Source organism: Homo sapiens, chromosome 3, assembly GCF_000001405.40.
Source record: "Homo sapiens chromosome 3, GRCh38.p14 Primary Assembly".
Lineage (NCBI taxonomy): Eukaryota > Metazoa > Chordata > Mammalia > Primates > Hominidae > Homo > Homo sapiens.
Genome location: NC_000003.12, coordinates 72,331,826 through 72,343,763, shown reverse-complemented (window position 1 = coordinate 72,343,763; position 11,938 = coordinate 72,331,826). Strand labels below are relative to the sequence as shown.

The following is an 11,938-nucleotide window of genomic DNA, read 5'->3' as shown; positions in this document are numbered from 1 at the left end:
CTAAGCCTGCTCTCCCAGAGCAAAGACCTCCATGGTACAGTTTGGGAAGAAGGGGAACCTTGTTCAGAATTCTGTGTTCTTCCAGTTGAATATCCCACGGTTGGGTAAACGTTGTGAGTCTAGGAACTGCTACAAAATAGAAACAGACAGATAAGATAGATAGATGGGTGGGTGGATGGATGGATGGATGGGCAGAAGAATGGATAGACAGACAGAGAGATAGAAGATGGATGGATGGATGGCTAGACATATGATAGATGAATAGGTGAATAGATACATATAGAGCAGATCTTCTCTGTGCAATCAAGTGAGAGTCATTCATCATTTATTAACAAAGATTTCATGAGCACCAACTATGTGCCAACTATGTGTCTAGTACTGATTAGACAATGCCAAGTGAAACAGGTGGGCTCTCTGCTCTCGCAGTGCCCTCAGTCTCTTGTAAAATCTAATGCTCTGGGCCAAGAGAAACTATTACGATTTCTCTCAGTGTTATTTCTTAGTGTGAGTCACAGAGGAGCCCACATCCTCCACCAGGAGAAGGCAGAGGGAAGGGCCTGAAGGCCTGGTACCCACATAAGTAAATTTTAAGAGGCTGACAGGCGTCATTGAGCCAAACCATTAAGGCTTTGGAGTCAGGCCTACCTGGGTTCAAATCCCTGGTTTTGCCACTTTATAATTTGTGACCTTGGACAAGTCACATCCCCTCTCTGAGTTTCAGTAGCCCCATTTGTTCACTCATTATTTATTTTGAGTTCTTGCTAGATACTAGATACTGATTTAGGTGCTGAGGAGGCTGTAGTCAACAAGATAGATAAAGTCCCAGTCTTTCTGCAGTTTATAATATACCTGTGGGGAGACAGAAAATAAATAAAAACATCAATTTCTAATACACCAGTTCGTGATGAGTGGATGGAGAAAAGTCAAGCATGGGGCGAGGGGTTTCATATGAGCAGCTCCCTGACGGAGGCGAAGAAATGAGCCATGTGTATGTCTCGGGGAAAAGCATTTCGGGTGGAGGGAACAGCACACACAAAGGCCCTGAGGCAGGGGGCACTTTGCAGATGTGATTAAGCTCAGGATCTTGAGAAGAGACGATCGTCCAGGGGGGATCACGAAGGTCCTTCTAAGAAGGAGGCAGGAGACTGGAGGGACAGAAGGCAATGTGACAAGGGAAGCAAGAGGTTGGAGGGATCCGAGGAAGGGACCATGAGCCTGGGAACACAGGCAGCCTCCAGAAGTTGGAAGAGACAAAGGGGATGGTTTCTCCCCTGAGGCCTTCAGAAGGAAGACCTTCGGAATGCAGACCTGCTGTCACGCTGATGCTAGACTTCAGACCTCCATAACTCTAAGAGAATCAATCTGTTTTAAGCCATCGAGTTTGTGGCAACTTGTTCCAGCAGCAATAGGAAACTAGTCCAAGAATGCCTTTCTTCTTTTGTGAAACAGGACCGTGAGAGTCCCTGACTGAGGCCCTGTAGAATTAGGGGACAGGAAGCCTGGCAGCTCTGCCTGAGGAGGGAGAGCTGGCTTGGAGATGGCCTGAGAACCAGGCTACCCCTGGGAGTCCAGCTCCAGCCCCTCTGGCAGGTCCGAGGTACCCCTGGAGGCTCCACTCTCTCCTGCCTCCAGGCCTCTGCACAGGCCCTCCCTTCTGCCAGGAGCTCCCCCATCTGGCCCCATCCATCCTTTGGCTAAGCCCCAGATGGCTCTGACCCTTTCTTTCCCTTCCTCATCACCCTAACCAAGTAAGTGGAGCTCCTGCTTCTGGATTTATACCCTAACTGAGCCCTTGCACACTCTTAGCATTTAAATACTTGTTTTCTACTTTGCATTCCCCTCTAAGAGTAAGACAAATAGCTCACCGTTTATGGGGCCCTTACTGTTTGCCAGACAGGGCCACTGTGAAGAGCTGCACAGGCCATGACTGATCAACCCTGGTGTGAACAGCACCCACTAGAGCTGTGTGAGGTGGTAGCAACAGTGCTAAGTGCTCATTCATTCTTCACAGTGACCCCGTAGGGTAGGGCCGTATGCCCACTTTACAGATGAGGAAGGAATTATGGGGCAGAAGGGACACACTCACAGCTCCCTGGAACATATTTTCTAAGCATTTATTGAATATTTTGTTAAATCCTCACCATGACCCAGTAAGATTGGTGCCATAACTATTCCCATTTTACAGATAGGAAAATTGAGGCTCGGAGGAGAAAAGCCACTGGCCCATGGTTGCAGATCTAGTAAACATGTGAGCTGGGATTCAAGAGTGGGTCTGCCTGGCTCCTGAATCTGAGGTCTTAAGCCTCTGCTGTGCTGTCCTCCCGACTACACACCTCTAGAGCCAGAGACCGGGCCCTCATCACTGTTGTTTCTGCCTGGTTCAACAGAAGAAATGCTCATAAAAACTTGCTGAAGGAATGAATGAGGAAGGAATGCATCAGGAGGTGGCCCTGAAGTTCCTTGGCTATGACCTTGGGGATGCTTTATTACCTGGCGTGTTGTAATTTACAGTTATAAGTGGCTGTGAAGGTCAAATGAGCTCACCTCCCCAGCAGCCCTCTGAGAACAGGACAGCAGTGTTACCGTGGGAGGGATTTTCCTGGGCCCACACCCAGGTTCTCAGCCTCCTGGGGAAATTCTGCCTTTCTGGCTGCCCTTACTCTTCTCAGCTTCAGAGAAGAGTCTGGCTTTTTCTTCAGCTTCTGGAGGGCCTGAGACTCTGGGCGTTCCTGGAAGAGGCTCCTGTCCCCACCAAGGCCTATGTGTGACACCTGGGCCCTTGGCTCTTACCTGGGGGAACCCCAGAAAATTTCCTCCTGTTTTCACCTCCCTGTCCCTGGGGACCAGGCCCCAGTGGCTGTGGTATCAGGAGCAGCTGGTGCCTCCCAGAGGGTCTGTAAGATCCTTTGGGGAAGCAGGTGGCATTTCAGGGTGGCTGCGGAGGGCCCAGCTGGGCTCATCGGTGGCACCATTACCAGGCTGTGCCCCTGTGCCTCCCAACACTTTGGGGCTGAACGTCATGGCTTCCCAAGTACATGCGCGTCAAAGATCTTGATTAATCCTAATGCCTCCCAAGAGATGAGGATTAATCATTGTGCAGGTTCACATTTCTGGGTTGTTTACTAGGTGCCAGGCACCGAGCTGAAGTCTTCATGTGGATTGTGTTTTTCCTCCTCATGACAAGCTTATGAAGTAAGTGCCTTTCTTGAGCCCGTTCCCATTTGTGAATGGGGACACCGAGGCGCAAAATGCAAAGCTCCCTGCTGGAGACCACACAGGTGGTGGCAGAGGCATCTGGGCACCCAATCCGAGTTCTGCCAAGTGGCTTCTATCAGAAACAGCTGTTTAACTGATGAAGCAACTGAGGCTCAGAGAGATGGAGTAACTTGCCCAAGGTCATCGACCCTGCCCCCCAAATTCTGCTGCCCAGCATCTTGCGGGAGAGTAAGGGAGGGCTGAGGCTCACCACCTGCCCGGGCTCTGGGGGACAGCCCCAGGGGGGGCCGGGTGTGGGAAATGCCCTGGGCTCTTGAGGGCTGTGGGCCTCTGTTTCCCCAGCTATAAAATGGTGGCGGTAACAGAGGTGTGACTGACAGACACATTGCTCCTTCCTAAGACTTCTCCAGCCCTGCATTCCAAGACCTGGATTTTCTAGGGCAGCGTTTGGCCCCAATCCAAGCCCCATAAATGGCTGCCCGTGGCCCGCCCCACCCCCACCCAGCTATCCTCTCTCCCCCAGCCCTATAATTGGAGTCCTGTAGGTGAGTTATTGGCTCAATATGTTTATAGGTTCCCCCAGCTCCCCTCCCCCCTCACCCCCAAACAAAGGAGCTATAAGACTAGAGCCAAAACACAGCTCCAAGAACGTGTGCCTGTGACCCAGCCCCCGCCAGGGTGAGGTGGAGAACTTTCCGTGTGGCCCATTCCTGGGCAGGGCCTACTCCTCTTCTCCCTCCAGCGGCTCCTGCTTCCCTCTTCCTGTCCCTGCTGCTCCACAGAAGCTGCTCTGTCCCCTCAGGCTGGGCCAGCTCCCACTGCAGCACTTTAATGGTTTTGGGAAGGGTAGGGACTGTGTTGACAGGCTACCTGGAGGCAGTTGGCCAGGAAAGTCAGTCAGTCTGCCCTTGTCTCACAGTCAGACTCCGAGACACAGCCAGGGCCACACAGTGAGGCATGGCCACGCACACCGTGAGTCCCAGGCACGGTCAGCTGGTCTGTTGGCCAGCCTCAAGCAGTCAGCCAGTTGGCACACTGGGCCAGTCAGGGAGTTAGCTGTTGTCTCACAGCCAGACTTGCCTATACGAGTCAGGGCCACCCAGTCAACGCCCACTCACATCAGGAGTTGCAGTCACAGCTGGTCAGTCAGACACCCAGCCAATCTCAGTCAGTTGGTCAGTCAATTAGTCATTGTCTCTTGGTCAGATTGTGTTACACAGTCAGACATGGCCGCTCACACAGTGAGTCACAGCCGTGGTCAGCAGGTCTCCTGCTGCCTGGTCAAACTCGATCTGTCAGCCCATCAATCAGTCAGTCAAGGCAGGGTTAGCCAGTCAGCCAGGAGTCATCAGTCACCCACATAGCCAATCAGATTCAGCCACCCAGTCAACACATTCAAGTCAGTCAATCCACAGGTTATTGTCTCACAGCCAGACTCAGTTACATTGTCACAGCCATCCAGTCAGACAAAGCCACTCACCACGAGTCACCCAGCTGTCTCTTGGCTGGCCTGTTCATCTCAGTCAGTCTCTGGCAGTTGAGTCAGCCAGAGTCAGTTTTCCATGACTAAGGCAGGTGGTCAGTCCACCCGGTCTGTCCTGTGAGTTGGGTGTAGTCAGTTTCATGGTTAGTCACAGGTAGCCGTAGGCTGTGCCACAGCCACAATGAAACACCAGGCAACCAGCCAGTCAGTTGATCTCAAAATGTCAGGCATGCAATCAAGGCGGTCAGTCAAGACGCAGGGGTCACAGTCAGACCCACGGTTACCAAGTCAGTCTGGAAGAGACAGCCAATCCCAGAGCCGGCTAGTCAGTCAGTCAAGATCATCACTGACGGCTATCAGTTAGGAGATCATAGTCATCCAGACATCCAGTCAGTCTGAATCAGCCTGCCAGTCACACTGACTCAGTTATTCCCTCAGTCAGCCAGGCAGGCAGTCACAATAGTCAGTCATAGTAAGCTGCCTAGTTATCCAGTCAGTTTGAATTAAACAACCAACCAGTCAACCATACACCAAACCCATTGTCATCAACTGGCCAGTCAGTCCATCATGCATGTGGTCAATGAGTTGGTCTCCTTGTCAACCTGTCTCCTCACCAGTCATGTTCAATCCACTGAATCCATCAGCCCAGTTGCAGTTGGCCCAGTCATAGTCACAAGCTCCCACAGTCCATGGCCTGGTCAGTCCAGATCACAGCCAGCCAGCTACAGTGAAACCCACAGTGACCATCAGTCAGTCAGTCAGTCAGTCAGTCAGTCAGTCAATCAATCATCTAACCTTGTCAACACCAAGGCCCTGACTGACTTCTTACAGTATCACATGAATCACTAGCGATCACTGACAGAAACCCTAGATCAAACCGAAAGCATGCCTTGACCCTCTTCAGCAATGTCCAGAATAAGTGGTCCCCAGTCAGCCAGCTACTCCTATTCATCAGGAAGGATAGGGGCAGGGGGAGGCAATTAAGTTGACATATGAGTTCAGGGGAACCCACTTGTCAGCCAGAGAGGCCATGGGGCTGACGGCCATGGAGAGAGGGCAGAAGACCCTTGGGACAGTTTTCCAGTCCACCACCTGGATGCCCCATGAGGGTTTTCTCAGAGCAGGGACCCCCAGTGCCCTTTCCAACACCCCTGCTGTCCCCAGGTAGGGGAGAGTGAGAGTATGAGATACCCCTGCAATCGCTGGCCTCCTCCTTTTGCCTCCCTCGCTTCCCCCTTCCTTTTCCTCCCTCTCCTCTTGCTCCTCCACTTCCTCGTCACTTCCGCCTTGCTCTACATAGGTGAACCTAACCCACCCACACTCAGATCCTGTCCTGGTGTTCCACAGTGCCAGTCCCTCCCCCCCACACACACACCACACAATCACAAACACTCCCACCACACACATACACACACCAGTCACAAACCACCACACATACCACACACATACCCACACACCACACACGTACACCCACACACCACATATACACACATACACACCCACACACATCACACACATACAGACCCACACCCACCACACATACACACACACCACACATACACAAACACTCCCCGCCACACACCAGACACCGTGTGCATGTGCACATACCACATGCATATACACACCCACACACACCACATACATCACATATGCCACACGTCACACACAGACACCACACTCACACATAGCCCTCGCACACCACACCCTCCCACGTGCACGTGCACTTACAACACAGGGCACACACACCACACATGCACACATGCATATACCACATGCACGTATGCACACCACGCACACACACACATACGCTACACAGACACGCACACACGCCCTGCTTCTTGGCTAGCCTCCTCGTTTTGGAACATCCTGTTCCAGGCAGCCTGGGAGAAGGCGCTCAGACACTCCTTGGGCCGGCCCCTCCCCCTCTGCTCCCAGGGTTTCCGCCTCCTGTCGCCGCCCTTGCTGGGGTAGGGGGCGGCCTCCTGGCATAAGCCCGAGCACAGTGTCCTCCTGGGTGTGGACTCTTTCTGCAGGAACTCCTCCTTCCAGCTCCTCTGGAGGAGAGGGATGAGCGGGGGAAGGCTGGGGACGGGAGGTGTCTTGCTCACTTCATTTCTCTGCCTGGGGGCCCCCCCCGCCGGCTTCCCTGGAGTCAAGCAGGGCTCCCCAGGCAATTCCGTTACCTGGGTGAACACTGGCAGGAGTCCAGCTCAGAGAAGCAGCTGGGAGTTCTAAGCCCGAGGGGAGAGCTGTTCATCTCAGGCTGACTGGGGCTGCTTTCTGCTCGAGCGGGCCACACTCTAGGCAGAGGTGCTCTCTGGACCTCTTTCTGGCACCTGGACTCCACCACTTACTAGCCTTGTGATCACATTGGGCACATTAATTGGGGTTTAGGAGCCTCAGCTTCCTCTTCTTTAAAATAGAGAGGATAACAGAGCCCACCTGCTTGGGTCTGGGTAATGATGAAACGAAGAACACGTGGAGAGGGCTCAGGGCAGCATCTGGTAGCTCCTGTGACTGCCGACTTGGGGCTCATTTGTTCCCACCAGGCAATTTGGTGGCCAGGCCACAGGGGGTTCTAGAAGCTTCTTTCCATGCCCCTTCTCTCACCTGGCTCCATGACCCCCTGCCCTATTGCAGCTTCCAGTCACCGAGGGCTCCTAAGTGCCCAATACCACGCTGGGTGCTCTGTTGACATTATCACCCTGCACCCTCACAGTAGCCCCATGATGTCGGTGCCCGTACTATACCCATTTTACAGAGGAATAAACTGAGGTTCTGGGAGTTAGAGTAATATGCCCAAAGCTGCAGGTAGTGAGTGGAAGAGCCAGAACTGGCTGACTTCCTGAGGCCCATAGGGTGGCATGGTACCTGCCCTGGTACTGAAAGCCACATGTGCATCTTTGGGGCCTTTGGGGAGGGTGGGGAGGTGTTTTCCATGCCCCAGTTATCCCAGGTTCCCAGCTTCTGCTCTATCTTGTACTGGTTACCTGACATGTTTGTTGACAACATTCATTGACTTTGCATTGGTGAAGAGTTGAGTGGATGTTGGTGGAAGCACAGGCACTCCAGAAGCTGGGGTGGGTGGGTGGAGGCACTCCTCAGACTAGGGAGGCCCCAGGGACACTTCCAAAGCTCTGGTTTGGCTGAGGAATTCATATCTGAAAGGAATGTATGAGAAGGCTTTGGGAAACACAGAGAAGCTATCTTTTATGGGCGTAGGGGAGGCCGCAGAAGAACAGCATCCAAATCTCCACATCATGTGGACCTTGCTGTCGATAACAGCAATCTTAATGACAATCTCTACAGGCCCTGGGCTCCTTAGGAGGTAGGAGGAGGGTGTCTTTATCCAGAAACCCTTTCTATTAACAGTAACAACATAAGGATTCCACCCAGTGCCTCTGGGGCTGGTGGCGAGAGGACTCCAGCTTGGGGCCACCCCCTAGGAGAGATTCCTGTGAGCAGCCCTCGAGGGCCTCGCAGTGATGCCCCCCAGCCTTCCAGCTTTCCCTCAACCCGCAGGTGGCTCTGCGAAGGCGTCTCTTTATTTGGAATTGCACTTGGCAGTGATGACACTTTTTGAAGGGCTGCAGGGTGGAAGTCGGCAGCAGAAGCCCTTAATTCCCAGACCCGAGGGGGCTTTGCAAAGACAGCTCCTCTCCTGCTGAGCACAAACCCACCATTTCTCTCACTTCCAGGCTCCAAGGAGGAGGGCCAGGCCACAGTGTGAAATGCTCTTAGAGGACACCCGCTGGGGTGACAAGGCTCAGAAGAAAAAGGCAGATGGCTCCCCACTGCCCTCGGATGACATCCAAACGGCCTGCCTGCTGAATTAACAAAGGCCATCCTCATCCTGCCTCCGGGCACTGCTCCAGCCCAGGCCTTTGCCACGCACACCATTCCAGCTACTGCCTGCGAGCTTCTCAGTCCTTACAGCAGGACTCCCGGAACCCCAAGCTGCCCCCTCTACAGAGAATATGCTTCCCTCCCATCATCTCTCAGCTAACTCCTATGCATCCTTCAGGACTTAGGCGTCACTTCCTCCAAGAAGCCTTCCCAGAATGCCTCTCCCCTAGCGTCTAGTAGCCTCAGGCGTTCTTTAGCTTGTACATTGCATTCTCCTGGTGTCTTCTCACTGTCTTCCTCTGTGCATGTCTGTCTCTGTCCATTTCCCCTTTGTATAAGGACACCAGTTATATTGGATTAGGGCCCATTCTAATCATTTTATGTTAACTCGATTACTTCCGTAAGAGCCTATCTCCAAATAAGGTCACATTCTGAGGTTCTGGAGTTTAGGAGTTCAACACATCTTTGAGAGAAAGAGCACAATTAAACCAGAACACTTGCTTCGTGACCTTAACTTCTAAGCTAAGTGTATTTCCTTAACTTCTCTGAGCCCTGCTTTTCTGTCTGTTAAATAGGGATTGTGAAAGGGAGAATTACCCCAGGATGCTGGGGACTTTGGCTCAAGACTGGGTTCCACTGAGCGGCTGTGTGACCTTGGGCAGCCCCTTATCCTCTCTGAATCAGTTATCTACTGCTGCAAACAGACCACCTCCAAGCTCAGTGGCTTACAACAACATCATATATTTTGTTCATAAATCTGCAATTTGGGCAGGGCATGGAGAGGAGGGCTTTTCTCAGTTCCCATGTGACAGAAGCTGAGGCAGCTCCACTGGGTTGGAGGATACAATTTCAAGATGGCTCGCTCATGTGGCTGCGGCTAGCAAGTAGGTCTGTTGGTCGGCTGGGAGCTCAGCCTGGAGCTGTGGGTTGGGGACCTTGGATTTTCTCCATGTGTAGGATTTTCTCCATGGGCTGTGTGGGCTTCCTCACAGTATGGTGGCTGGGTCCCAAGAGTGAGCATCCCAAGAGAACCAGGCAGAAGTTGCATTATCTTTTGTGACCGGGCCTTGGAAGTTGCGTAGTGTCACTTCCATTGTAATCACAAGCCTGCCCAGATTCCAGGGAGAGAACCCAAGTTCTGTCTTCTGGTGGAAGAGTGCCGAAGTTATGTATTTTGGAAAACATGATTTGCCGCATCCTTCACTGACTTAGGCAACAAGAGTTACCACTTAACCAGGCATAGGTGGTGAGCTGAGGCCTTTACACAGATTATCCCATCTAATCCCCACAACAACCGCCTGCTGCTGGTGGTATTGTTATCTCATTCCACGGATTAGGAAATTGAGGTTCAGAGAGGTAACTTGCCCAAGGTCACCCAGCTAGGCAGTGACAGAGTCAGACCTTCCTTCCCTCCAGAGCCTTCTGTTACTCAGATGGACATCACTAGTCACTGCTGTCTAGAAGGTCCTGCCCACCCCTTCTCCCTCCTCCTTTGGAGTCCCCTGAACTTAGTGCTTATAGTGTTCTTGGCCTTGTGAAGTTTGCCTTTTGTACCCAGTCTTTTCTCATATAAGAAGATCTAGCTGGTGGTGGGGTGAGGCTGATGTGGGGCTCTGAGCCAGCCGTTAGGCACATGGTGGCTTAAAGAAGCTTTTGCAGGCTGGGAACACTGTTTCTATGGGAAAAGCATTCAGAGTCCATCCCATTAATTTTCAGACACTTCTGGAAACTTCTAGAAAGATAGTTAGATACTGCCTTTACCAATAACTTCATCTAGATTGGTATGTAGGTAAACGTGTGTGTGTGGTGGTGGCGGTATTTCTTTAAATATAGGGTTTAGAGTCTGACAGATTGGGTCTGAGTTTCTTTTTTCTTTTTTGAGACAGGGTTTTGCTCTTACCCAGGCTGGAGTGCAGAGACATGATCTCGGCTCCCTGCAACCTCCGGCTCCTGGGTTCAAGTGATTCTCCTGCCTCAGCCTCCCGAGTAGCTGGGATTACAGCTGTGTACCACCATGCCCAGCTAATTTTTGTATTTTTAGTAGAGACGGGGTTTCACCATGTTGGCCAGGCTGATCTCAGGCGATCCGCATGCCTCGGCCTCCCAAAGTGGGGGATTATAGGTGTGAGCCACCGTGCCCCGCTGGGTCTGAGTTCAATTCTATAATAATAGTCAAAGGGCATTAGTTTATAATCAGAATACAAAGACCCAACCCTCACCACCACCCCATTTTACAGATGAAGAGTCTGAGGTTCAGAGAGGTGAACTGACTTACCCAAGGTCACAGAATGAGTAAGGGTAGGAATGGGGAATTGACTCTTGAGCCTGAGCCCTTTTCATCTTAACTCCTCCACTTAAGGCTGAGTCATGGATAGCCATTAGCCATTGGATGAAAACATGACAGCGGTTGCATGGCTGGTGAGAGGAACCTGGCTCCTCGAGGCTCTGCACCAGCTGGTGGTTCAAGGGGAGAATGAGCATTTGTGCAGCTTGGTGGTTAGGTCAAGGTTTACCAGGCTGAAGATTCCCAGAGACCTTGCTTGGGATCTTGGCTTTGCCACTTACTGACTGTTCTGTCACCTTGGAAAAACACTTATCCTCCCTGAGAGTTCAATTCCCTGCCTGTGAGAGGGGTCTAATAATAGCGACTTTACTGGGTCATTGTGAGTAGGAAGGAAGAGAATGCCCATGGAGGTCTTTGCATGGGGTCTGGCGCATGGGACACCTTCAGTAAAGGCATCTGTTTTATTCATATCCAGAGATGTCTGAGATGGAGCTGGTGTCAGAGGCTTGGCACGTGGAGTTCCTCCATTGCTCCATAAATGTTTGTTGCCTGAATAACAAATCTCATTTTCTAGAGATGGAAACTGAGGCCCACGGAACTAACTTTTTATGCTCATACAATGACAGATAGGCAATGAGGATCTGAAGCATGAATGAATGCATGAACGAATGAATGAATGACTTCTGTGTTAGGCTGGATTCCCTTGGAAGCAGACTCTGAGGTGAAGATTTGAGGACCAGTAGTTCGTGTGGGAGGTGACCCCAGGAAACTCTGGGAGGATGTGGGAAGCAGGGAACATTAATAAGCAGGTTACTGCTGTGGGTGACGGGGACTCCATCTCATCAGGGACCCTGGGAGACAGTTGGGGACATGTCTTAGAATGTTCCCCCTGAGGATGGAGGAAGCTGGGTGCTTAGCCTCCAGTTCCCCCTGTGTATCCCTGCGGCTGCTCCTGGGGCGCTAATTCCATGTCCTCCCCTGGCCAAGCACGCTCCTGGACAGAGGGCGCCATGCACAGAGGGGTGGAGGTACTTGCCCAAGAACCCTGTGGGTGTCAGGGAGCAGTAAGGGCTGATGGGGTATAGGTAAGGCACCAACAGACTCGACTT

The 11,938-nt window shown here is 52.0% G+C and overlaps 2 annotated features.

The window, feature by feature from the left end:
• Nucleotides 4,254–4,363: a silencer, noted in NCBI's record as "silent region_14527". NCBI's record gives its function as "represses an Ori minimal core promoter by ATAC-STARR-seq in GM12878 lymphoblastoid cells {active_cell/tissue: GM12878}" and the evidence as "EXISTENCE:reporter gene assay evidence [ECO:0000049][PMID:35858748]".
• Nucleotides 8,255–8,821: an enhancer, noted in NCBI's record as "NANOG-H3K4me1 hESC enhancer chr3:72384094-72384660 (GRCh37/hg19 assembly coordinates)". NCBI's record gives its function as "activates a minimal SCP1, AML or CMV promoter by ChIP-STARR-seq in naive and primed H9 embryonic stem cells {active_cell/tissue: H9 hESC(naive and primed)}" and the evidence as "EXISTENCE:reporter gene assay evidence [ECO:0000049][PMID:30033119]".